The sequence below is a fragment of the Homo sapiens genome, chromosome 10 (genome assembly GCF_000001405.40).
Source record: "Homo sapiens chromosome 10, GRCh38.p14 Primary Assembly".
NCBI classification, from domain to species: domain Eukaryota; kingdom Metazoa; phylum Chordata; class Mammalia; order Primates; family Hominidae; genus Homo; species Homo sapiens.
This window is the reverse complement of record NC_000010.11, coordinates 102,896,157-102,921,775: the sequence shown is the minus strand read 5'-3', so window position 1 is coordinate 102,921,775 and position 25,619 is coordinate 102,896,157. Positions and strand designations below refer to the sequence as shown.

General features: G+C 45.8%; 2 protein-coding genes and 2 long non-coding RNA genes across 6 annotated transcripts in view, besides 8 other annotated features; 1 reads left to right on the top strand and 3 right to left on the bottom strand.

The window, feature by feature from the left end:
* CNNM2 (cyclin and CBS domain divalent metal cation transport mediator 2) overlaps positions 1 to 3,482 on the bottom strand; it is a 171,929-nt gene extending 168,447 nt beyond the window's left edge. For all 3 annotated transcript variants that reach the window (NM_017649.5, NM_199076.3, NM_199077.3), the window contains exon 1: positions 1,675 to 3,482. In NM_017649.5, coding sequence (NP_060119.3) covers positions 1,675 to 3,295 — 1,621 coding nt within the window. In that variant the 5' untranslated portion in view covers positions 3,296 to 3,482. The remainder of the gene's footprint in view (positions 1 to 1,674) is intronic.
* Positions 2,807 to 2,896: a silencer, noted in NCBI's record as "silent region_2775". NCBI's record gives its function as "represses an Ori minimal core promoter by ATAC-STARR-seq in GM12878 lymphoblastoid cells {active_cell/tissue: GM12878}" and the evidence as "EXISTENCE:reporter gene assay evidence [ECO:0000049][PMID:35858748]".
* Positions 3,156 to 3,842: an enhancer, noted in NCBI's record as "H3K27ac hESC enhancer chr10:104677691-104678377 (GRCh37/hg19 assembly coordinates)". NCBI's record gives its function as "activates a minimal SCP1, AML or CMV promoter by ChIP-STARR-seq in naive H9 embryonic stem cells {active_cell/tissue: H9 hESC(naive)}" and the evidence as "EXISTENCE:reporter gene assay evidence [ECO:0000049][PMID:30033119]".
* Positions 3,441 to 23,073, top strand: LOC107984265 (uncharacterized). The gene is made up of 3 exons (NR_160733.1): positions 3,441 to 3,608; positions 21,266 to 21,382; positions 22,304 to 23,073. It is a non-coding gene; the product is annotated as an uncharacterized LOC107984265 (long non-coding RNA).
* Positions 3,507 to 3,686: a silencer, noted in NCBI's record as "silent region_2774". NCBI's record gives its function as "represses an Ori minimal core promoter by ATAC-STARR-seq in GM12878 lymphoblastoid cells {active_cell/tissue: GM12878}" and the evidence as "EXISTENCE:reporter gene assay evidence [ECO:0000049][PMID:35858748]".
* Positions 3,843 to 4,529: an enhancer, noted in NCBI's record as "H3K27ac hESC enhancer chr10:104677004-104677690 (GRCh37/hg19 assembly coordinates)". NCBI's record gives its function as "activates a minimal SCP1, AML or CMV promoter by ChIP-STARR-seq in primed H9 embryonic stem cells {active_cell/tissue: H9 hESC(primed)}" and the evidence as "EXISTENCE:reporter gene assay evidence [ECO:0000049][PMID:30033119]".
* Positions 11,450 to 11,744: an enhancer, noted in NCBI's record as "tiled region #3077; HepG2 Activating DNase matched - State 8:EnhW". NCBI's record gives its function as "activates a minimal TATA promoter and a strong SV40 promoter by Sharpr-MPRA in HepG2 cells {active_cell/tissue: HepG2}" and the evidence as "EXISTENCE:reporter gene assay evidence [ECO:0000049][PMID:27701403]".
* Positions 11,450 to 11,744: a silencer, noted in NCBI's record as "tiled region #3077; K562 Repressive non-DNase unmatched - State 23:Low". NCBI's record gives its function as "represses a minimal TATA promoter and a strong SV40 promoter by Sharpr-MPRA in K562 cells {active_cell/tissue: K562}" and the evidence as "EXISTENCE:reporter gene assay evidence [ECO:0000049][PMID:27701403]".
* Positions 19,877 to 25,619, bottom strand: part of BORCS7-ASMT (BORCS7-ASMT readthrough (NMD candidate)) — a 47,690-nt gene continuing 41,947 nt past the window's right edge. Inside the window, exon 15 of the long non-coding RNA NR_037644.1 lies at positions 19,877 to 21,183. This is a non-coding gene — a long non-coding RNA (BORCS7-ASMT readthrough (NMD candidate)). The remainder of the gene's footprint in view (positions 21,184 to 25,619) is intronic.
* AS3MT (arsenite methyltransferase) overlaps positions 19,877 to 25,619 on the bottom strand; it is a 32,430-nt gene continuing 26,687 nt past the window's right edge. The window contains exon 11 of the mRNA NM_020682.4: positions 19,877 to 21,183. Within this exon, the coding sequence (NP_065733.2) occupies positions 21,076 to 21,183 (108 nt within the window). The 3' untranslated portion in view covers positions 19,877 to 21,075. The remainder of the gene's footprint in view (positions 21,184 to 25,619) is intronic.
* Positions 22,716 to 23,216: an enhancer, noted in NCBI's record as "H3K4me1 hESC enhancer chr10:104658317-104658817 (GRCh37/hg19 assembly coordinates)". NCBI's record gives its function as "activates a minimal SCP1, AML or CMV promoter by ChIP-STARR-seq in naive H9 embryonic stem cells {active_cell/tissue: H9 hESC(naive)}" and the evidence as "EXISTENCE:reporter gene assay evidence [ECO:0000049][PMID:30033119]".
* Positions 23,217 to 23,717: an enhancer, noted in NCBI's record as "H3K4me1 hESC enhancer chr10:104657816-104658316 (GRCh37/hg19 assembly coordinates)". NCBI's record gives its function as "activates a minimal SCP1, AML or CMV promoter by ChIP-STARR-seq in naive H9 embryonic stem cells {active_cell/tissue: H9 hESC(naive)}" and the evidence as "EXISTENCE:reporter gene assay evidence [ECO:0000049][PMID:30033119]".

The window sequence follows — 25,619 nt, the reverse complement described above, 5'->3', positions numbered from 1 at the left end:
AACTCATGCAATAGATCATCTGTATCAATATTGGGAAATTTAGCAATAGAAAGACTTTCAGGGGCATTTCCAAACATCCCAATATATCTTTCTGTATTACAGATATTACTGCAAAATGAAAGAAGTTAGATGCTCTAATTAACAACTTAGTGGTGAAAGAATGACACCCCCAAAAGAAGCTATGTCACCTAGAGATACTGGACATTTTCTTTTTACTATTTAAGAAACCAGAAGAACCTCCTTCTGCTTTTAAATGCAAATTTACCAATCTTCAAAGCACATTCTGCCCTGTTCCTTTACATAAAACTTACTACAATGTGATCCTGTTCTAGAGAGGACATCATTCAACCAGAAAAATGGCATTAGGACAACCATACACTCTTTGAGTATGTTCAGATCATCACATCCAGTGAGCTGTCACCAGGTACATATCACCTTTTTCAGAGGAGAGACTACTACCAGTGATCAAAATTCTATTTGAAGAAGGGAAACTTGGTTTTGAGGACTATCAGGTCACGAAAGGTTACATACACATTTCAATACCTGCACATGCCCTAGCATCTTAATAATTCAAAAACTCAGCATCCCTTGGTTTTCAAATAACACTATTTACTGGAAACATTCAGAACTTCAATAATAATAGTACAAGTTGCTATTTACCTGTTCATTATATGGTCAAACGAACAAATATAAATGATGTACTGTATAAGCATCTTGGAACGGTGAGAGTTGACGGAGACATACTTCAACTTAATGTATCGGATGATCAAGGTGGAAAAAAAGAACACGTTAAACTGAAAGAGTCAAGAAATAAATAAGCCCCAATAGAGGGATTCATCCCACTGTTAAAGGTTCAAGCTTTCTGCCAAAATCACACTTGGTTTGGGCAACTGTAACTGTTGTCAGATAAATGTAAACAAATAGTGAAGAAGGCTACGGGACATACAGCCTCTTCACAAAAGGCTGGCTAACCTCTAATCTTTCCAAGTTACATATTAATAACTTTAATTTAAAACAACAACAACAACTCTTTTCTAGCTAAGAGAAGTCACATCCAAAATGGGTGATTTTTTTTGGCGATACTTAGTTTACCCCACCCCTTACCCTCAAAGGCAGACCTCAATCTTCCCCACAAGTTGCCAGGCAAGCAGGAACAGAAGCTATAGAAAATGTACTTCGATCTTTGAAAGGCCAGTGTGGATGTTTAAGGAGGAGAAAAAGGACTGCACTGGGTTTACAAAAGCTAGTTACATGTTTTCCAAATGCCTGTGATTAAAGTCCACCAAATGGCATGGCATCAGCCAGCCCCTACCTTCACCTACTCACTGAGAACCCAGACAATGAAGGCGGCAGACCCCTCAAGAACAGAGGCCCACACACGGGACCAAAAAAAAAAAAATAAATAAGTGTCATGCACAGAAATTACACAGCCTGCTTTTTGATAATGGGAAAAAGTAAGTGATGGCAGTCTTGTGCTTTAAAATAACCTAGTAGCACTTACTAGTTCAATCCATCCCCAAATCCACGCCACCCTTTCAACTTTGCAATTAAGAGGGAGAAGGAGAAATCCCGGTCAACTCGCCTTGGGGGGTTGGTCTGAGGGTAGAGGACTCAAGTAGGGAGGAGGATGGAGAGAGAAAGAGCAAGCCAATGAAAGAGACCAAAATTTCCCACCTTTCTTAAATTCTTCCAGCATAGCGTCCAACTTGGTGTCATTGAAAACAAAGTGCAAGGGGTGGTTATAAAATTTGGTGATGGTTTTCAGGGGGGTACAGTCATCGGGATCCACGAAGGCCAAGTCTTTGACAAACAGCAGGTCCACGATATTGGAGCGCTCCCCTTCAAACACTGGAATGCGGGTGTAGCCGCTCTCCATGATCTCAGACATGGTGTTGAAGTCCAGGATGGCTTCGCCGGTGATCATGAAGCAGTCCCGGAGTGGGGTCATCACGTCCTCCACCGTCTTGGTGCGGAGCTCCAGCGCCCCTTGGATGATGTTCAGCTCCTCCTTAACGAGGTCGTTGTAGGGATCGGTGACCCGGAGCATCTCCAGCAGTTTTTCCCGGTTATAGACGGTGCCTATCTCCTGGCCCAGGACGCAGTCCAGCAGCTTGCTGACCGGGTAGGAAGCGGGGAAGGTCATCATCATGAAAAACTTGGTGAGGAAGATGGTGTTGGCCCCCACAGCCAGGCCATGCCGGGAGCAGATGGCCTGGGGCACGATCTCTCCGAAGATGACGATACCGATGGTGGAGACTACCACGGCCACGAGGCCCGAGCCGGCGATGTCGTCGAGCAGGATGGTGAGCGTGGTGTTGACCAGCACGTTGCCCAGCAGCAGTGAGCACAGCAGGTAGTTGCCCTGCCTGCGCACCGGCTCGATGCGCTTGGCGTAATTCTTCTCCTTCTCCGTGCCGCAGTTCTGCACGATGCGCAGCTCCATCGGGTCCAGGGCCATGAGCCCCAGGTTGAGGCCGCTGAACATGCCCGACAGGCACAGCAGCAGCGAAATGAAGATCACCTGCAGCCAGAAGGGCAGCAGGAACTTCTTCTCTTCGCCTACGATCATCTTGGTGTCCTCGCCGTCGTGGTAAATCCAGGTGGTCTCGGCCCACGGGGGCGGCGGGAGCCCGGCCACCCCCGAGCCACCCTTGCCCCCGACGGCGCCACCCGTGGACCCCGAGCCGCCGGCGCCCAGGGCGGGCGTGGAGAGCGACGTGCACAGGTAATAGGACTTGCTCTTCTCCATCTTGCGTAGCGGTTTGATCTCGATCTCGATGATGCCCGAGGTGCGGCGGTTGAGAATGATGTGGGGCAAGATGATGATGTCTGAGGTGCGGATGCCGCATCGCTGGGGGCCGCTGTCCGGCTCTGGCGGCGCGGGGCCCCCCAGCCCGCGCTCCCCCGGGCTGTGGCGCCGCCGCTCGTGCTCGGTGAAGGCGATGCGGGACCACGTCTCGTTATTGATGTTCTGCCCGTACACCCGCAGCTTGACCCGGGTCCGTTCGCTCACCCGCAGCGCCCCCCCTTCCATGAACGACACGTCGTTCGTGTCCTCCAGTCGCAGCCCGATGATCACCGTCTCCTCATTCTCGCCCACCGCTGCGCAGCCGCCCGCACCGCAGCAGCAGCTCAGCAGGAGCAGCGGCAGCAGCCGCCCCGCAGCCGCCTGCAGGATCCCCCGGCCGCGAGCGCTGAGGCTGCGGCGCGCCGCCATCTTCCAAGTGGGCAGTGCGGCGGCTGCCTGCCCGCCCGCCATCTTTACTTTGGGTTCACAAGCGCCACAGCCAATCATAGGGTGGCTGCTCCAGCTGCGGCTTCATCCTTTCAACCCGGCGGCGCGAGCGCAGGTACCGGCCCCTGGGCGAGACTGCAACGGAGCGTCCGCGGCCAGTGCTCAGCAGTTCGCCTCCCTGACTGACACTGACTCCACCTCAGCCAGCTGAGGAACCCCGAGGCTCGCGGGAGGGAAAGAGGGAGGGAGAGGAGCGCCGGCTGCTCCCGCGAGAGGCAGGCCGACCAGCCAATCACAAGCGGGTGCCCGCCCTCCCAGCCAGGGGGCTGGAATGGGGGCGTGACCGTGTGCCGCTCCGCGGACCAATGGCAAGGTAAGTGGGTGGGGCGACGAGAGCCACCGTCCCCGTCTGCACGCCAAGTTTCCAACTGAAAGGCGCGTGACTCTTGTGTATGTGCGAGGGGAGGGGGCGTGGCCATCTGGGACTCGAGAGCCAGTCAAAGATGAGAGCTGAAGAAAAAGGGGCGTGGCATCCGTCCTGCTGCCAATGGGAAGGAGCCGTCCCTGGGGCCCGCGCTCCCCAGGGGCCCCTGTAGTAGATCCCGGAGCCTGGACCGGCCAGGTTTGGACTAAAGCCCTGCGGCGCAAGGCGGCAGGTTCCCGGTGCACCGGTTACTGGCTCTCCAGTTCTCAATTCGTAGGCACAAAGCCGCGCGCCCTCCTGCCCCGGAAGCCCGAGAAGCCAACTAGAGGCGGCTTGGGATGCACACAGCCTAAAAAGCCGGGGCACCGGCCGCTGTCCCCAACTCCACCTGCGCGGCGCTCCGCCGGGGTAAGCGGCGTCGGTGGCCCCGGCACAGCTGCGGACCAGCAGTCCTCGCGCCTCGAGACTCCTAGGGTACGGGCTCTCTGCGGCTCGCGATCACGTGGCGCCACCTGCGGGCAGCATGAGCGCCCTGCAACGCTTTCCAGGTCGGCGGCGTACCCCAAAAGGTGTGCAGAAGTTACGGATGGAGCGGTCAGGGGGACAGTTCCCCAAATTTCCTAGTCATAGAACCCCTACATATTATTGCTAGGAGTATATACTTCCTAGACCTTTTCCCATATTTACAGAGTGGGAAGGGCCCCGAATCTGTATTCCCAGCAGGAATTCAGGCAAGTTAAGGAAATGGGAGGGGGCAAGCATCCTAAACAGACCCACAGAGGCTCATTCTTAATCACACTGACCAAACTCTGCTAGGGTCTTAGGTCACTCAAGAGCAAAAAGTTCTGGAAACCTAGCTCCCCAGTACTCCCAACGTCACCTGGAGGTGACGAGGTAGCAGAGTAGCTGCCAAATTGGTCTTTTCCTTGAAACTTAAAACATTCAGGCCGGGCGTTGGTGGCTCACGCTTGTAATCCCAGTACTTTGGGAGGCCGAGGCGGGCGGAGCATGAGGTCAGGAGATCGTAGACCACGGTGAAACCCCGTCTCTACTAAAAATACAAAAAATTAACCGGGCATGGTGGCGGGCGCCTGTAGTCCCAGCTACTCGGAGAGGCTGAGGCAGGAGAATGGCGTGAACCCGGGAGGCGGAGCTTGCAGTGAGCCGAGATCGCGCCACTGCACTCCAGCCTGGGTGACACAGGGAGACTCCGTATCAAAAAAAAAAAAAGAAAAAAAAGAAACTTAAAACATTCAAAATGTTTAATGTTTCTCTACCTCTTTTGTATTCTACAAGCACATCCCGCGCCCCCCTACCACCGCTTTTGTAAATGCATCAAACGTCTCTGATTAATTTCTGGTATGAGTAATTTCTGGAATGATTGCAGTGGCCTCCTAACTGATCTTTCCTCTTCGATACCTGTTCCTTTCCCTTCTCAACCCAGCAGCAAGTGATCTTGTCCATGAGATTCTGTTGCTCCCTTGGCTGAAACGCCTCCATTGGCTTCCCATCTCATCCTAGAGAAAGCCAAAGGACCTACAACATCCTACTAGGCTCGAAGGTCTGCTACCTCCCGTTACTTCTCGGACCTCATTACCTGCTGCTCTCCTAGTGGAAGGAGACTGATAATAAGCCAAATTAATTTCTCTCCAAACTGTTTCTCCATCACTCCAGGGATTTTCCCTTGCGAGCCTTTGCACTTACTGTTTGTTTCCTGGGCTTGGGACTTTCTTCCCCCAGATGTCAGCATAGCCTTGTTGTTCACCTCCTTTAGTGCTTTGCTCAAAAGCCATCTGATTTTAAACTTGCGGAAAACACTCCCTCTATGCCGCGTCTACTTTATTTTTCTTGAAAGCAAAGATCACTTTCTAATACACTATGTAAATTATTGATTTGGTTTGTTATCTGTCTTCTTCCACTAGAACTTAAGCTCCCTGAGGGCAGAAAGTGTGTCTGTTTGTTCACTGCTGTATCACAGGGGCCTAGAAGAATAGTAGATATATAGATAGATAGATGTATATTATATACATATATATTTTATATATATATATATATATATATATATATATATTTCTTTTTTTTTTTTGAGAGAGAGAGATGGAGTCTCATTCTGGCACCCAGGCTGGAGTGCAGTGGTGCGATCTCGGCTCACTGCAACCTCTGCCTCCTAGGTTCAAAGGATTCTCTCTTGCCTCAGCTTCCCAAGTAGCTGGGACTACAGGCATGCACCACTTCGCCCAGCTAATTTTTGTATTTTTAGTAGAGACGAGATTTCACTATATGTTGGCTAGGCTGGTCTCAAACTCCGGACCTCAGGTGATCCACCCATTTGGGCCTCCCAAAGTGCCTGGATTACAGGCATGAGCCACCACACCTGGCCCTAGATATTCTTTATTCTTTTTTTAAAACAAACAAACAAAACAGGGTCTCGCTCTGTCATCCAGGCTGGAGTGCAGTGGCACAATCATGGCTCACTGCAGTCTCCACTTCCTGGGCTCAGCCTCCCAAGTAGCTGGGACTACCGGCACATGCCACCACATCTGCCTAATTTTTTTTTTAATTTTTAGTAGAGACAGGGTTTCGCCATGTTCCCAGGCTGGTCTCAAACTTCTTGCCTCAAGAGATCCTCCTTACTTGGCCTCCCAAAGTGCTGGGATTACATGTATGAGCCACCAGGCCTGGCCAATGATAGATATTCAAAACAATATATGTAGAATGTTAAATAAATGAAAGTATTTATTCTGATTATTTTAAACAATGTCCTGAGTCTAGTTTCCAGCCCTTCCATTTCTGATGCTGCTTCCCCTACCTCAAGTCTCATACTGCTATATTTGAAAAGTAAGTTCAGATGAAGAAAACCACCCACAGGCTCAGGCTTGGCATGCATTTATAAGAATGGCATTATGGAAGTTTCCCAAGAAAAAAATGATTTTTAAGGATATTTGGCAAAGGTTAAGGATAGACATGATCCTTCTAACTCAGTGGATTGAAAATAAACCATTTTAACTTCATAAAAAGTGGAAATACTACAAATGTTTTTAAGGGAGCTAAGAGAGAAGACAGGCTCTCAAATGCTGAAAGTACATGTGTGGAATAGGAGTGAAGTCGGGGGAGGAGGAGCTTGCCAACCCTACAGACATTTCCTGTGCATTTCAGAGAAAGCTACAACAGGACAATGTGACATTCAGCAATTTAGAAGCAAGTTAGAAATTCAGGACTTCATAGAAGAAAAGGTCAGAAAGGACACCCAGACAACTTACAATATTAAAAAAAAAAAAAAACTCAAATTCACACAGAGGGTTGCTGAATGATCCTGGATGGTTGGTGGGGGTTTATACTCTTCATGTATACTCAAGACACACAGAGCAATCTAGATGCCTAAGTCAAGTAATTGTTCCTTAGCAAGAGGGATCTTCAAGTTTGGAGGCTTTTTGGCTTCAGTAGTTTCTCTTCTTTTTTTTTTTTTTTTTTTTTTTTTTTGTGGTGGGGAAGGAGTTTTGCTCGTCGCCCAGGCTAAAGTGCAGTGCAGCAGCATGATCTCAGCTCACTGCAAGCTCTGCTTCCCAGGTTCAAGCAATTCTCCTGCCTTAGCCTCCCAAGTAGCTGAGATTACAGGAGCCTGCCACCACGCCCGGCTAATTTTTTGTATTTTTAGTAGAGACGGGGTTTTGCCATGTTGGGCAGGCTGGTCTCGAACTCCTGACCTCAGGTGATCTGCCTGCCTCGGCTTCCCAAAGTGCTGGGATTACAGGCGTGAACTACCATGCTCGGCCGTTACCCTCTTTAGTGAGTACCTGCTATAGAGCAGGCTTATGGTGACTTCCAGGGACTTCCCAGCCCGTCCATTTGTTTAAATGGAGGGCAAGGTCAACACCTGCCTCTAGGGATCTCTTCTGAAATCTGGAAGAAAAACAAAAATGAGGCTCTTGAATTATGATATTTCACCTCCATAAAGGGGGACAAAAGGCCCAAGATTGCTAAATGGTTGCTGCTGCTGCCCAATCCTATTTAAAGTTCTGACGGTCTGACCTTGGGCAAGTCATTTAGATAAAGCTAGAACCACATACCTTCCCTAACTAACCCTCTCTTTCCAGAATCCTTCACTATATACTAAAAGGGAAAGGTGACTTCAATTTTCTCATCTGCAAAAGATAAGCTCCCAAGTCTGTAGGTTCAGGGATTTAGAAGGCATTGCATCCAGACCTAAAAGTCTTTTAAAGTTTGATAAGTTTGATTTTCTTAAAGATGGCAAGTAAAACACTAAATGTCATTCTACACATTTTGTTGCTGAACATAAAGCTGATTTTATAGAGAAGCTTTTCTTTTTTCCAAAAATTGCCTACTTATAAAAAGTATTCGTATTTATTGCTTCAACGGTATCATTTCTTTTTTCTTTTTAGGGAACAGGGTCTCACTCTGTTGCCCAGACTGGAGTGCAGTGGCACAATCATAGCTCACCGCAGCCTCAAACTCCTGGGCTCAAACTCAAGCAATCTTCCTTCCTCAGCCTCCTGAGTAGCTGAAGCTATAGGCACAAGCTAATGCACCAGGCTCCAACAATGACATTTTAATCACACCAAAACACAAGATCTTGGCTGGCCATGGTGGCTCATGCCTGTAATCCCACGACTTTGGGAGGCTGAGGCAGAAGGATAACTTGAGCCCAGGAGTTCAAGACTAGCCTGGGCAACATAGACACTGTCTACCAAAAATAAAATGAAATGTTAGCTGGGCATGGTGGCATGTTCCTGTAGTCCCAACTACTCAGGAGGCTGACGTGGGAGGATCACTTGAGCCCAGGAGTTCAAGGCTACAGTGAGCTGTGATCGTGCCACTGCACTCCAGCCTGGGTGACAGAATGAGACCCTATCTCAGAAAAAAAAAAAAAAAAAAAAAGGGCTGGGCATGATGGTGCATGCCTGTAATCCCAGCACTTTGGGAAGCTGAGGCAGGCAGATCACCTGAGGTCAGGAGTTCAAGAACAGTCTGGCCAACATGGTGAAACCCTTTCTCTACTAAAAATACTAAAATTAGCCGGGTGTGGTAGTGGGCGCCTGTAATCCCAGCTACTCGGGAGGCTGAGGCAGGAGAATCGCTTGAACCCGGGAGGTGGAGATTGTAGTGAGCCGAGATGGCGCCACTGTACTCCAGCCTGGGTGACAGTAAGACTGTCTGAAACAAACAACCCCACAAGATCTGAGGAAAAACAGGAACTAGGAAAATGCTGGAGTTAACCACACTTTCCATAGAGTCAAATCTGTATCAAATCTGTTCACCCTGAGAGGGATTTCTCTGAAGCAACACTATCCACTTGCTCAAATACATAGAACCCTTTTAGCTAAGACTTTTTCACAACAGTTAAAAAAAAAAGTAACATAAAATCTACAACACCATTTACCATTTCAAGAAGAGTTTTCAGGCCTCTTATTTAGGGCTTTCCCATTTTCCTCCTTTTGCTAAATATTTTCTGAACATTGTTACTAGGTAGGAGAGAAAAATGTGGCTTTTTGATGGAGTTGTGGGAAAAGCATCCTTCTTTGAGAAGGGCCCCCACGCTCCTTGGGTGCCGCTGTTCCTGGGAATGGGGCTGTCAGGTGCCCACATGGGAGGTCTTCTGTGCTCTGAGCTGGCACTCCCTCCTTTTCTCCACTGCCCCCTTGACCCTACTGGGCCACTCAGAGAACAGTTCTGCTGCTAAAAGTCCACTGTTTGCCCTACTCCAGCACCCCTGCTCTCTGACTGCCAAGCCCTGCCACTGTGAGATTTTCTAGAATCTTCTAGAACGCTCTTTATGCCTGTTTCTTCCAGCCTCCTGCTCAGGTGTGGACAAGGGTGTAAGCAAGGCTCTGAGCTTGGTTATCCTTATCACTGTGACTAAAACACTCAACCCAGGCCATGCTTTTAGGGAAGCAGTTCACTTCTATATAGAAGTTTTAAAATGTTGAACCATATGAATCTTACCTATTCAAAAGACTAATTTAAAATTACATTTGGGAAGTGAGAAACAGGTGGGAAATAAAGAAGACTCTGACAGGAGGATGGTAACTAGGAATAAGATGCCAGGAAAACAAATAGGTCCTGAATGTCCAATTCTGAGCCCTCCCATAAGACTCAGACCTGCAGGGTGCTGACACCAGAGCTTCCATTTATGACCCTAGTCATAAAATATCAGCTTTCCCATACCAGCTAAGCTCATTCCCATGGTCTTTTCTCCACAGCCTCTGAAGCTGGGCTAAAATTCTACTCCAATAAGTCAAATCCCCCCATGCAAAGACAAAACAACATGTCAGTGGGAGAAACAAAACAAAACAAAACCGCCCCTATTTTTAGTTCCTCTGAGATACCTATTTTTTTTATATATATATTTTAACACCTCTGCTGGCAGGAACCTATTTATTTTAAATATCACTAAACTGAAGATTTAACTTATTTGTTCCCATTTAGTAATACATTGCCTCAATTTTCTATGTCCTCTTTAAATTTTAAATAAAAAGTTTGTGTTTTCTCACCTCATTTAGTTTTCCCCTTTTATTTGTAAATTTATCAACTAATATATATTGTATATTTAATAACTTCCAAACCGTGTACTAGGCACTGCAGAGCTGCAATATGGAATCAGGGGTTACCCTAAAAACTTACTAGCAAGGAAGTTAGCAAATGTTTACATAAATAACTACATAATACAAGATAGAGCATCAAATGTCTTAAGAAGTAAAATAAAGGGGAAGGATTGAAGAACTTTGAGGAATAGAAGTTTTAGGTATATGCCATGTCAGAGCTATTCCAAAAAGGGTGTCTTAGTGTGCTCACGGTGCCATAACAAAATACTGTAGACAGTGTATCACTCAGGGTTCCCTAGAGGGACAGAACTTTATATATATATATATCCTATATATAGATATATATCCTTTATATAGATATATATCCTTTATATAGATATATATCCTTTATATAGATATATCCTTTTTATAGATATATCCTTTTTATATATATATCCTTTATATATAGAGAGAGCCTTTATATATATATAGCCTTTATATAGAGAGAGAGCCTTTATATATATATAGCCTTTATATATATATAGCCTTTATATATATAGCCTATATATATATAGCCTTTATATATATATATAGCCTTTATATATATATATATATATAAATGAGTTTATTAAGTATTAACTTAAACGATCACGAGGTCCCACAATTGGCTGTCTGCAAGCTTGAGAAGCGAGGAGACCCAATCTGAATCTCCAAATTGAAGAACTTGGAGTCCAATGTTGGAGGGCAGGAAGTATCCAGCACAGGAGAAAGAGGTAGGCTGGGAGGCTAGGCCAGTCTCACATTTTCACGTTTTTCTGCCTGCTTTATATTCGCTGGCAACTGATTAGATTGTGGCCACCAGATTAAGGGTGGGTCTGCCTTCCCCAGCCCGCTGACTCAAATGTTAATCTCCTTTGGCAACACCCTCACAGACCCACCCAGGAACAATACTTTGCATCCTTCAATCAAGTTGACACTCAGTATTAACGATAACAGGGCTGGGTGTGGTGGCTCACGCGTGTAATCCTAGCACTTTGGGAGGCCGAGGCAGGTGGATTGCCTGAGCTCAGGAGTTAGAGACCAGACTGGGCAACACAGTGAAACCCAGTCTCTACTAAAATACAAAAAATTAGCCAGGCGTGGCGGTGTGCACCTGTAGTCCCAGCTACTTGGGAGGCTGAGGCAGGAGAATTGCTAGAACCAGGAGGCGGAGATTGCAGTGAGCGGAGATTGCAGTGAGCCGAGATTGTGCCACTGCATTCCAGCTTGGGCGACAGAGTGAGACTCCGTCTCTCAAAAAAAAAAAACAAAAACAAACAAACCATAACAGACGGGTTGGCCTATACAATGGACACTGTTCTGGAGGCTAAAAGTTCCAGATCAAGGTCCAACAGGGTGAGTTTCCAGGGAAGCCTCTCTTCCTGGCTTGCAGACAGCCACTTTGTCCTCATATGGACTTTCCTCTATATGTGCACAGAGAGAGCCAGCTCTCTGGTGTCTCTTCTTTTTTTTTTTTTTTTTTTTTTTTTTTTTTTTTGAGACGGAGTCTTGCTCTGTCGCCCAGGCTGGACTGCAGTGGCGCGATCTTGGCTCACTGCAAGCTCCACCTCCCGGGTTCACGCCATTCTCCTGCCTCAGCCTCCCAAGTAGCTGGGATTACAGGCGCCCGCCACCACGCCCGGCTAATTTTTTGTATTTTTTTTTAGTAGAGACAGGGTTTCACCGTGTTAGCCAAGATGGTCTCGATCTCCTGACCTCGTGATCCGCCCGCCTCGGCCTCCCAAAGTGCTGGGATTACAGGCGTGAGCCATTGTGCCCGGCCTAGGTGTCTCTTCTTGTAAGGACACTAGGCGCCTGGATCAGGGCCCCACCCTGATGACCTATGTTAACCTTAAGTACTTCCTTAGAGGTTCCATCTTCAAATACAGTCACCTTGTGGGCTTCAATGTATGAATTTTGGGGAGACACGGACATTCGGTCCCCACCAAAGGGATTGAAAGATAAGAAAGAAGCCAGGCACGGTGGCTCACGCCTGCAATCCCAGCACTTTGAGAGGCTGAGGTGGGTGGGTCATGAGGTCAAGAGTTCAAGACCAGCCTGGCCAACATGGTGAAACCCCATCTCTAATAAAAATACAAAAATTAGCCAGGCGTGGTGGCGGGTGCCTGTAATCCCAGCTACTTGGGAGGCTGAGGCAGGAGAATCAATCCCAGGAGGCAGAAGTTTGCAGTGAGCCAAGATCATGCCACTGCACTCCAGCCTGGGCAAAAGAGCAAGACTCCGTCAAAAAAAATAAAAATAAAATAAGAAAGAACAAGGCATTCTACTGGAGAGAAAAGTATGAGGTGAGGTTGGAAAGGGAACAGCATTTTTGGAACACCACATGGTTGAATGTGGTTCAATAGCCAATGAAGAGGAACAGCAGAAATAGTGTTGGAAACTTGGTTGGATGTCAGTTTGTGGTGCGTTGAATGCCAAGTTTAGGACTTTAGATTTCATTCTGTAGGTATCCAGGAGTTATAGTAAAAAGTTTCAAGTAGAAAGGCTGTATTACAGGAAGATTAACCTGACAGGTAGCACTGCAATGATGTTGAGGTCCTGCCGATCTAGGAATTTAGGAAACTCCTGCCACTCAAAGTAGAAAAAACCTAAACTGTTTACAATGCACTTTCTCATATATTATCTTGGACTGACCTTCACAATTAGAACTAAGAGCTATGCCACTTCTCCAGCCATATGCAGGACAAAGAACCAAAGCTAACTATCTCATGTCACAGGAGCCAGAAGAAAACCAAGGTGGGGCATCACAGCCTCTGTTCAGGAAGTCCACACCTGGATTGGCAATACTACTGCTGTGGTCTCTGTAGTAATCTTGAATCTTAAAGCAAATGCAAGGTTTCCCAGGTTGGCCTGGACTCCTGATCATAGGCCAGACTTCCTGATACTAATTTTTTTAACTTAAAAACATTTTTGACATATAATAAATACATAAAAGTGCATAAAACATAAATGTACAGTATAATAGCTGAACACATAACATATCATCTAAAACAGAACCCCTTTGAAAATGAAAAAAGGCTACTATTAATATTTAACCTGGCTGGGCATGGTGGCTCACGCCTGTAATCCCAGCACTTTGGGAGGCCAAGGCAGGTGGATTACCTGAGGTCAGGAGTTCGAGACCAGTCTGGCCAATATGGCGAAACCATGTCTCTACTAAAAATATAAAAATTAGTTGGGTGTGGTGGTGGGCGCCTGTAATCTCAGCTACTTGGGAGGCAGAGGCAGGAGAATAGCTGGAATCCGGGAGGCAGAGGTTGCAGTGAGCTGAGATCACGCCGCTGCAGTCCAGCCTCAGTGACAGAGCAAGACTCCGTGTCAAAAAAAAAAAAAAATTTAACCTGGTTTGAGGCTTAAACTGGGACAGCCCCAGGCAGACTATGTTCACTTGATAATTATCATGGTAAAGGTGACCACCCCCTAGTCAAGAAAACCCCTATATATCCCTTCTAGACCACTAGACTACACACCTCTCCCTCTAATCCAGATGTATCTACTATCCTTACTTTTTTTTTTTTTTTTTTTTTGAGACAGATTCCTGCTCTGTTGCCTAGGCTGGAGGGCAGTGGTGCAATCTTGACTCACTGCAACCTCCACCTCCCGGGTTCAAGCAATTCTCCCACCTCAGCCTCCTGAGTAACTGGAATTACAGGTGCACACCACCACGCCCAGCTAATTTTTGTATTTTTAGTAGAGATGGGGTTTCGCCATGTTAGACAGGCTAGTCTCAAACTCCTAATCTCAAGTGATCTGCCTGCCTCAGTCTCCCAAAGTTCTGGGATTACAGGTGTGAGCCACCACACCCCTGGCCACTATCCTTACTTTTATAGTAATCATTTCCCTTTTTAGTTGCTATATTCTTAAATTTGGGAAAATTCCCTAAAGGAAAACAAGGACAAACCATTTAATACAATGGTATAAGAGTCAGAACAAGTTCTGGCCTTTGTTCTAACATTTATTAGAATGTGATCCCGGCCAGGCACGGTGGCTCATGCCTGTAATCCCCACACTTTGGGAGGCCGAGGCAGGTGGATCGCTTGAGCCCAAGAGTTCTAGACCAGCCTGCGCACCACAGGAAGACCCTATCTCCACAAAAAATACAAAAATTAGCTCTGTGATGGTGGCGCATGCTTGTAGTCCCTGCTACTCGGAAGGCTGAGATGGGAGGATCACTTGAGCCCAAGAGGCAGAGGTTGCAGTAAGCCCAGATCGCCCCACTGCACTCCAGCCTCGGTGACAGAACAAGACCCTGTCTCAAAAACAAACAAAAAAAGTGATCCCATCATTTAAACCATTTGAATATACTCAGCCTCAGTTTTCTGTAAAATTAGAAAAATCAGCATTGTGAGGGAGGCATAAGGGAGTTTAGTAAAGAAACAACGTGGGGTATTTGTCTGGTTTTTATCTCACACAAACCAATGAATCTTCCTCATAACCATGAGAAATCACCATCTTTAAAGGGTTGCACTGGCTTCATGGGCTCCTGCTACATTATTTAAAAGCAAAAATAAAAATACCTCCTTCATAGCATTTCCTTAGTTAGATCCAGTTGAAAGGAATAATAAGGTTAATTTTAAAAAGAAAATAAGGACAGTTAATAAAAGATTAACTACAAAGCCTAGAAGCCACACGAATCATTCTGCACTTGCTGTGCAAACCTCTCCTCCCTGGCAACTTGACATTTGCTTTCCAGCGTAGGCTTATTTAATATTCACAAAGAAAGTTATGTGATGGGAGCTTGTTAACTCTGAGAACAGAGAGTAAACTGTCCAGGCCACTTCACCTGACACAATTAGGCTCTGAGTTGTAGGTCACATTACCATAAGCAGCTCTAGCACTCTCTGGTGTCCTCCTGCGAGCGTCCCTGCAAAGCTCCATGTGCCCTTCTTGGCTACTGCTTGTAATGAATTAAATATATGTTAGTGTCATAGATTAGGTCACTGACTTCCATCATCTGAGGTATGATAGAAAAAAACCTCACTTGTAACATTGATGAAACTGTACTAATTCTAATACTTAAAAAAGGGTCACAAACTCAAAGGCCTACAGGGGTGAGTGAAGTTGACTTGAGGTGGGGATGGTGGCACACTGTCTAAAGTGACATGCCCTGTCTGAAGGGGAACCCATTACTCAGCCATGGCCATCACAACTATGCAGAAATGTAGGGCTGCTGTTGCCAGCATTTTCAATTTTTCAAGAAGCCCCAAATTCATTCATATATATATATATATATATATATATTTTTTTTTTTTTTTTTTTTTTTTTTTTTTTGAGACGGAGTCTTGCTCTGTCACCCAGGCTGGAGTGCAGTGGTGTGATCTCAGGTCACTGCAACCTCTGCCTCCTGGGTTCAAGCGATTCTCCTGCCTCAGCCTCCCGAGTAGCTGAGACTCCAGGCATGCACCACCACGCCTGGCTAATTTTTGTATCTTTAGTAGAGACGGGTTTCACCATGTTGGCCAGGCTAGTTTCGAACTCCTGATCCGCCCACCTCGGCTTCCCAAAGTGTTGGGATTACAGGCATGAGCCACTGCGCCCAGCCCAAATTCATATTTTATACAGAATTTTCTGATTTATAAATGTGGGCAACTGATTGTAAAAAATTGGAAAAAACACTGTGACCTCCACAGAATCTGGACCCATAAATCTGTTTTTACATATGGAAGAGAACTTGAGAGTCTTCCAAGTTCAATGCCTTCACTTGACAGATGGAGAAAGTGAATCCCAAAGTGGACAAATGATGTTCCTATGGCCAAATAACTAGTTCAGCGGCAGAGCCGGATCTAAAAGAATACTTGCTTCCTGTCTCCTGCATCACTTTTCACTCCACCAATGAGAAAAAGGTTAGTGGCTTTAGGCCTAGTTTAAAAGTTAGAGATGAGCTCACTGGCATGTGCCTGCAGTCCCAGCTACCTGGGAGGCTGAGATGGGAGGATCACTTGAGCCCAGAAGTTCAAGTCTGGCCCAGACAAGATAGCAAGACCTCATTTCTAAAAAAAAAAAAAGTTATCAGACCCAAGTCTGGATTACAGTGTGCCTAGAACATCATTGACTGGCCAGTCTACATTTTTACTCTCTCTGGCTTATGAGGCATCATGCTACTATATGAGGCAATGAAGTAGTATTAAGCCAGAATATTTTGGTTCTAAATTGATCTCCCCCCTCACCTGGAGCATTGCACTGCAGCATGGCCCTGCCACATGGAAGGTGGGGCCACCATGTTCCCACTGCGGAAAGGAATTGTTACAATTGTGAGTCCAACACAACCAAGGCTCACTCAGCAGGAGGAAATTAAGTACAAAACTTACATTCGCATAACACTCCTATTAACCTCAGTGGGAGTTGTGCTTTCAGGAATTGCAGGGTCAGCAGTTGAACAGAAACTGGAATGAAGCAGTAAAGCTCATCATAGGTTGTTGTTAGGATTGTATAATTTCAGCTTCATATTTGCAAAAGAATTTTTTTTTTTTTTTGGGAGACAAGGTCTTGCTCTGTCACCCAGGTTGGAGTGCAGTAGCATGATCATAGCTTACTGTAACCTCAAAAAGAGTTCATTTTTACTCTAGTGAGATCTCCCTCTACTGACTCTCAGGGCAGGGCCTACAGAAGAACCTTTGTTTGGACCCAAATTGTGGTGTGTGGTTGAAGAAAATTGGCAAATCACAGAAGTCAGGACAGGTACCAACAAAGTTTAGAAAATACACTCAGCAGTTTTTGTCCTCTTGGCCCATGGGGTTCATAATATTCCATTTTAGCAACCAGTGCCTAGGACAGTGCCTGGTACACAGGAGATAATACTATTTAGTGAATGAATGAAAGAAAGGATAGACAGTTCCCATACCTTGCCAGACTCATTTAATACAATTCCCATCTTAACATGGCAGAATGAGTGACTACCTCAGCTGCTTCCCTGGAGCCATCCAAGTAAAGGCCAAGAATAAATAGGAGGAGCAGGCTCTGGGGCTGTCTTGGCACAAAGCCATGCCCTTTTCAGCTATGCATGGCTGGATGTGGGGGTGGGGGCCTGTTGAGGCTACTGCTGGGCCTCCCTGAGTTGGTAAGCTGAAAAGTTTCTGCAGCCTTCCATGATTCTTTTTTTTTTTTTTTAATTTTTTTTTTTTAGGCTGGGCACAGTGGCTCACACCTGTAATCCCAGAACTTTGGGAGGCCAAGGCAGGTGGATCATGAGGTCAGGAGTTTGAGACCACCCTGGCTAACATGGTGAAACCTCGTCTCTACTAAAAATACAAAAATTAGCCAGGTGTGGTGGTGTGTGCCTGTAATCTCAGCTACTCGGGAGGCTGAGGCAGGAGAATCACTTGAACCTGGGAGGCGGAGGTTGCAGTGAGCCAAGATCATGCCACTGCACTCCAGCCTGAGCGACAGAGCAAGACTCCGTCTTGAAAAAAAATAAAAATAAAAAAATATAAAATTTTTATTTTTTAGAGATGGGGTCTTGCTAAGTTGCCCAGCCCAATCCCATTACTCAACATCTTTTTGGGGAACTGAGAGTTCAGAAGGACAAGTAAAAAGCTAATACCCTCTCCTTGTAAATGCCAAAAAGCCCAATAAACCAAATAAACAAAACACCCCCCCCCTTTTTTTTTTCTGAGACAGAGTCTCGCTCTGCCACCCAAGTTGGAGTGCAGTGGTGTGATCTCGGCTCACTGCAACCTCCACTTCCCAGGCTCACTGCAACCTCCACTTCCCAGGCTCAGCCGAGTCTTGTGCCTCAGCCACCTGAGTAGCTGAGATTATAGGCCTTGGCCACCATGCCTGTCTAATTTTTGTATTTTTAGTAGAGACAGAGTTTTGCCATGTTGGCCAGGCTGGTCTTGAACTCCTGGCCTCAAGTGATCCACTCGCCTCAGCCTCCCAAAGTACTGGGATTACAGGCATGAGCCACCACACCCAGCCAACAGAACACCCTTCAATCAATTCCCCCCAAGCAGGGCCATCTTGTGCTCATGAAGAGCAAAGTATGCTTATTCCAGCTGTACCATTGTAGCTAATGCTGTAATGTACCATTTTCACATTAAAGTAGGTTACGACTAGATAGATACGGCACCCTAGAACCAAGCAAGCATGTTTAAAATTAAGGTCATGGAGGTGAATAGGGCTTAAAAAAATACTACCTAGTTCTTTCCTCTGTCTGTAATAGTAAGTTAGGCTCTATAGCTGAACCTACTCAAAAATTTGAGAATTTCTCCATATTAAACAGCTTTCTTAAAACAGAAGTCTATCCTACGGAATCCATTCCAATGTTTTACATGCCTTAAAATTCTCAAACCCCTAGTCCGAAATCCCCTGGACCATGCCATGCCCCTGGTTGTTTTTGTACTGAGCCCAGGGCAACTGGTTGACATCTTATCAAAACCCTTGATTGGTTGAAGGCTATTTATTTATTTATTTGTATTTATTGTTTTTGAGACGGAGTCTCGCCCTATTACCCAGCCTGGAGTGCAGTGGCGCAATCTCGGGTCACTGGAACCTCCATCCCCTGGGTTCAAGCAATTCTCGTGCCTCAGCCTCGAGTAGCTGGGATTGCAGGCGTGCACCACCACACCCAGCTAATTTTTTGAATTTTTAGTAGCGATAGGGTTTCACCATGTTGTCCAGGCTGGTCTCGAACTCCTGAACTCAAGCAATACACCCACCTCGGCCACCCAAAGTGCTGGGATTACAGGTGTGAGCCACCGCGCCCAGCCTGAAGGCTGTTATTTAAAAACTGAATTATCCAGCTCCTGATGATAATGACCATCACTTATACCTTTCTGTGTCCTCCAATAAAGTCTTCAAGTACAGCTGGAATTCAAATTATTTACCATCCTTGAACCTTTCTTTAATGTTCTTAATATTCTTCTTTAACTATGGAAAAACTGAATCTATCATTTTGCTAAAAGTTTAACCAGGACACCTTATAAAGAAAAAGAAAACCTACCATTTTTACATCTCTTTCCTCCCTCCCCTCCCTTCCTCTCTCCTTCCCTTCCTCTCTCTCTCTCTTTCTTTCTTTGACAGGGTCTCACTCTGTCACTCAGGCTGGAGTGCAGTGGTGCGATCTTGGCTCACTACAACCTCCACCTCCCAGATTCAAGCAATTCTTGTGCCTCAACCTCTCGAGTAGCTGGGATTACATGCACATGCCACCACACCCGGCTGAGTTTTGAATTTTTAGTAGAGATGGGGGTCTCACCATGTTGGTCAGGCTGGTCTCGAACTCCTGACCTCAAGTGATCCACCCACCTTGACCTCCCAAGGTGCTGGGATTACAGGCGTGAGCCATCGCACCCAGCCTATTTATTTATTGTTTTTTAGAGACAGGGTCTTGCTCTGTCACCCAGCTGGAGTGCAGTGGTGCAATCATAGCTCACTGCAGCCTGGAACTCCTGGGCTCAAGCGATCCTCTTGCCTCAGCCTCTCCAGTAGCTGGGACTACAGGTACATACCACCATGCCTGGTCATTTTTACATCTTTTAGCTCTCTTTTTAAAAAACGATCGAACTCTATTCCTGACCCAGTTAGGATAATTTACAATAAATAATCACTATGTCATCAGTCATTAGGGTGAGATACTTATGATTCATTTGTTTTCTTGAGATACTTGATTCAAAGATGTTTATGATTAATTTGTTTTCTTTATTGCAAAAAAAAAGAAAAAAGAAAAAAACATTTGTTCAAAAGCTACCTCAAAAGTCCTCCTACCAAACATGATTTGGCAATCTTTTTGCATGATTAGTATGATGGCAGTAGGAGCTTTGTTTAATAAGCAAACATGATGAAAATTCCAAAAGGTGCTATGCAAAAGATCAGAAGGAAGATGTTTTTCCTGAGACCCTCTGCCAACTGTTACTTCTTCTGATGCCTTTCCTGCTTCTTGAACAAGGCTTAAGACAGCTTCTCTGTTCCATTTCTGACCACTATGTGGCACCAGAACTTTGAAGTAGGAAATAGAAAAAAAATCTGCTTAACTAGTGATTTGCTGTGAATCTTTAATCAATGCCTCTTAAAAATAATTCATTTATGGCCGGGCGCAGTGGCTCATGCTTGTAATCCCAGCACTTTGGGAGGCCGAGGCGGGCGGATCACGAGGTCAGGAGATCAAGACCATCCTGGCTAACATGGTGAAACCCCGTCTCTACTAAAAATACAAAAAATTAGCTGGGCATGGTGGTAGGTGCCTGTAGTCCCAGCTACTTGGGAGTCTGAGGCAGGAGAATGGCGTGAACCCAGGAGGTGGAGCTTGCAGTGAGTTGAGATGGGGCCACTGCACTTCAGCCTGGGCAACAGACCGAGACTCCATCTCAAAAAAATAAATAAATAAATAAAAATAATTCATTTATTTTTTTCAGTGATTTGGAATATGGTGGCTCTCTGCCATTTGTTGTTTTCTTTTTCTTTCTTTCTTTTTTTTTTTTTTTTTTTGCTTTTGAGACAGAGTCTTGCTCTGTTGCCCAGGCTGGAGTACAGTGGCGTGATGCTTACTCACTGCAGCCTCTACTTCCTGGGTTCAAGCAATTCTCCTGCCTCAGCCTCCCGAGTAGCTGAGACTATAGGTGTGCACCACCATGCCCAGCTAATTTTTTTTGTATTTTTGGTAGAGACAGGATTTCACCATGTTGGCCAGGCTGGTATCAAACTCCTGACCTCAGGTGATCTGCCTGCCTCGGCCTCCCAAAGTGCTGGGATTATAGGCATGAGCCACTGTGCCCGGCCCCATTTGTTGTTTCTTATGGTCTGTGCTATGGGGAAAAGCAGGTTAAAAAACATGCAGATCACTCTTGCCCACTACTGTGGTCCCCTGGTTGGCTATAGATTTAGCAGCTTTTCTTTGTGCCACAGCAGCCTCCAGCAGCATCAGGGACACATCTGGACTTCATACTGTCAGACTCTTCTGCAAGCTTAAATGGATCTGTGATTATATCCTGTCAAAAGGCAAACCAAAATGAAAGGACAAGTTAAAGGTGTTTTGATGTACCCAAACACTAATATTTCTGTTTGATTTAGGTTGACTTACACAGAACAGAGATAAAATTTTACAATTCCATGAGATCCTGGGAGTAACATCAGTCATTCTGCCATAAAGGCACTTGCTTCCTGAAGCTTCTAATTACAACTTTCAAGGTAAACTTCACTTAAAGCTTCTTAAAGATGGTCCCTCTTGGGCAGAGCATTGATTTTTGCTCAGTTGATTTTGTTTTGTGGGGTTGTCATTTGCACGTGCCTTTTAAACCTCTTTGGAACTGAGATACGGAAATGCTAAAACGACTTCTCTTCCCTTATTCTAATCTCCAGAAACATTTATACCAAACAGGAAAGTGAGTCCCAGATGTAGGGCTGTCACTAGCAATTGCTGATGCTCAGATGAAATTGCCAACAATGGCCAGACAGATCTCAGAGTAGAGTAACATAAGACTGCTGTATTTATTTAAAAGACAAGACTGCTGTATTTATTTCCCCTCCTTTCACCTCCAAATGAGATACCTCTAACAATAGTACCAGTGGGGCCAGAGAAAAGCCAAGTACAAAGATAGGAAATCAAGAGCACAGGGTCTGGGCACGGTGGCTCACGCCTGTAATCCCAGCACTTTGAGAGGCCGAGGCCAATGGATCACCTGAGGCCAGGAGTTTGAGACAAGCCTGGGCAATATGGCAAAATCCCATCTCTACTAAAAATACAAAAAATTAGCTGGGTGTGGTGGCACGTCTGTAGTCTCAGCTACTCGGGAGGCTGAGGCAAGAGAATCACTTGAACCTAGGAGGTGGAGGTTGCAGTGAGCTGAGATCACACCACTGCACTCCAACCTGGGTGACAGAGCGAGACTCCATCTCAAAAAAAAAAAAAAAAGCATGAACATGCCACTTTAAATAATGGTAATGAATTCATTATAACATAAATTTACAGTCCTACTACTTATTCTGGTCACTGCAAATAGAGGGGTGTACAAGGCAGGCACAGACTCTACATTCATGAAACTGATAGACTGGTGGACCCTTTACTAAAGTGACTGACTTCCTGCTGGCCTTGGTCTCTCTGTCCCTCAGTGTCTACCTTTCTGAAATGAAGAGGTCTGCCTGCATCTGGTAAGATGAGCATCTGGCAGAGGATCTCCAAGCCTGGAAGAAGGCCAGCTCTGCTGGTTGCTACTGCTAGGACTTCACATCAATTGCATTTCCATCTCTCAGTATACTGGAACTCCTGCTTGAAAGGGTTTGCCCTGGCCTGGTGCGGTGGCTCATGTACTCTGGGAGTAATCCCAGCACTCTGGGAGGCCAAGGCAGTGGATCACCTGAGGTCAGGAGTTCGAGACCAGCCTGGCCAACATGATGAAACCCCGTCTCTACTGAAAATATAAAAATTAGTTGGGCGTGGTGGCTACTATGAGGCTGAGGTGGGAGAATCCCTTGAACCCTCTTCTTTCCACTCAATGATCTATCTACCAACAGGAGATGGTGATATCAATATCACTTCTAAATGCATGCTTCTAGTTCAAAAAGATCTCAAGACTTGAAGGAAATGAAAGGTGGGGTACCCAGATATAAGCAGTCCTTTCCTGCACCAACATCCTGTGATTCTATGAGAAGTACAACTATGGAGAGATGGAGCAGCACACTGGTTTAGAGTGCCAGCTCCAGAATCAGATGTGGGTGCAAATTCACCACTTTCTAGCTGTATGACTTTGGATTTGTAAATGAATCTTTCAGAGCCTCAGTCTCTCCATCTGTCAAATGAAGATAATAGGGGTGATTGTGAGGACTAAATGACAGGGTGCCTTAAACATATTAACTATTCAATAAAAGTTAATTCCTCTATATTACTGCTATGGTTGTTAATGCTATTACTACCATTACTATTAAGACAGTCCATAGCCCTAATCCTGTTTGCATCATTTCAGATGCTGCAGTGTTTTGTTGTTTTTTTGTTTTTGAGAGGGAGTCTCCCTTTGTCGCCGAGGCTGGAGTGCAGTGGCACGATCTTGGCTCACTGCAACCTCTGCCTCCCAGGTGATCCTCCTGCCTCAGTCTTCCAAAAAGCTGGGATTACAGGCACCCGCCACCACACCCAGCTAATTTTTGTATTTTTAGTAGAGAGGGGGTTTCACCATGTTAGACAGGCTGCTGTTGAACTCCTGACCTCAAGTGATCCACCCGCCTCAGCCTCCCAAAATGCTGGGATTACAGGTGTGAGCCACCACGCCCAGCCAGATGCTGCAGTGTTTTAATAGTACAATTGTTTTAATGGCAAAATACATTTTGCATATCAGGATTAAAAAGAAGATGAAGAAAAAGCAGAAGGACTCTCAAGATGTTAAGTATATGCAATACCCTGCATGCCAGCTGCGTGTACTGTCTGTACTCCAGCGTTTATCATAAAGGTCTTCCGTTAAGAAAAAAAAAAAAAAGATAAGAATGTCCTTCCCTAAGAGCACAAGGTTATATTCCTAGGTCACACAACTGTTTCATTTATTAAAATCTTCCTTCAGTGTCACTTATTCCCATTTCAAAAACTTGAAACTGACCTAAAGACATTGGCACATCTGCAGGCTGAAATAAAGCAGAAAGGAGACCTTATGTTGGGATAAACCAGTTCAAATATGTGGAATTTTACAATTTATATCTAAGGTCAAGAACCTCCTGTACATGTGTTGCACGCACACTGGGAGGGAGAACAAGGACAGCTACGCAGAAAGAAAATGGTCATCTGCAGAAGCAAACTCATTTAACTCCTTTTTTAAAAAAAATAGCCAGAGTGGCTGGGCACAGTGGCTCACACCTGTCATCCCAGCACTTTGGGAGGCCGAGGCGGGCGGATTGCCTGAGCTCAGGAGTTCACCACCAGCCTGGGCAACCCGGTGAAACCCCGTCTCTATTAAAATACAAAAAATGAGCCGGGCGTGGTGGCGTGTGCCTGTAGTCCCAGCTACTCGGGAAGCTGAGGCAGGAGAATTGTTTGAACCCAGGAGGCGGAGGAGTAAGCCAAGATCGTGCCACTGCACTCCAGCCTGGGTGACAGAGCGAGACTCTGTCTCAAAGGAAAAAAAAAAAGCCAGAGTACACTGAAAATACTGTAGCTCGAGGAAAGACCCTCTTTACTTGTAACCATTATCTTCTGATAGCATTTTTTTTTTTTCTTGAGACGGAGCCTCACTCTGTCGCCCAGGCTGGAGTGCAGTGGCATGATCTCTGCTCACTGCAAGCTCCGCCTCCCGGGTTCACGCCATTCTCCTGCCTCAGCCTCCCGAGTAGCTGGGACTACAGGCACCCGCCACCACGCCCGGCTAATTTTTTGTATTTTTAGTAGAGACGGGGTTTCACCGTGTTAGCCAGGATGGTCTCGATCTCCTGACCTCGTGATCCACCCGCCTCGGCCTCCCCAAAGTGCTGGGATTACAGGCGTGAGCCACCACGCCTTCTGATAGCTTTTATAATCAGTATTTAGGAAACCAGGTTTTAGAAGAATTAGAATGATAAAAGCCTTTTAAAATAAATATTGATTCTCACCAGCAGCTTTCCTTATCAATGAACTCTCAGGAGTTTCAAAATATCAGTGACATATTTTTGAAATGTTTAATGGATTGAATACTCAAAAGCCAAATCTGTCTACTTTCCAAAGTATCACCTTCTTCGAACAACAGAAGAGTCAGAATAGCAGAGTGCTGAAGAATTTAATAAAGCAAAGAAAGTAAATCACTCTTTTTTTTTTTTTTTGAGATGGAGTCTCACTCTGTCACCCCAGCTGGAGTGCAGTGGCGCGATCTCGGCTCACTGCAACCTCCGCCCCTCCAGGTTTAAGCAATTCTCTGCCTCAGCCTCTGGAGTAGCTGGGATTACAGGCGCATGCCACCACGCCCGGCTAATTTTTTTTGTATTTTTAGTAGAGACGGGGTTTCACCATCTTGGCCAGGCTGGTCTTGAACTCCTGACCTCGTGATCCACCCGCCTCGGCTCCCAAAGTGCTGGGATTACAGGCGTAAGCCACCGTGCCCGGCCTAGTAAATCACTCTTTAGCTCTACAGGTGGCTTGTATACTGAGCTTGGGTTAGATTCATGCTGGTAATACTGGCTCCAGGTTTTGGGGTCCAGGATTCTTATATTTTAGGTTCGATTAACCTTCCCCAACTACAAATGTACCATTTTTGAAAGTGATTTCTCAAAAAGCTTTGTGCTTTTTTTTTTTTTTTTTTGAGGCAGGGTCTTGCTCTGTCGCCCAGGCTGGGGTACAGTGTTGTGATCACGGCTCACTACAGCCTCCACATCCCGGGCTCAAAACGATCCTCCTGCCTCAGCCCCCCAAGTAACTGGGATTATAGGCATTTGCCACCGTGCCCAGCTAATTTTTGTATTTTTAGTACAGACACGG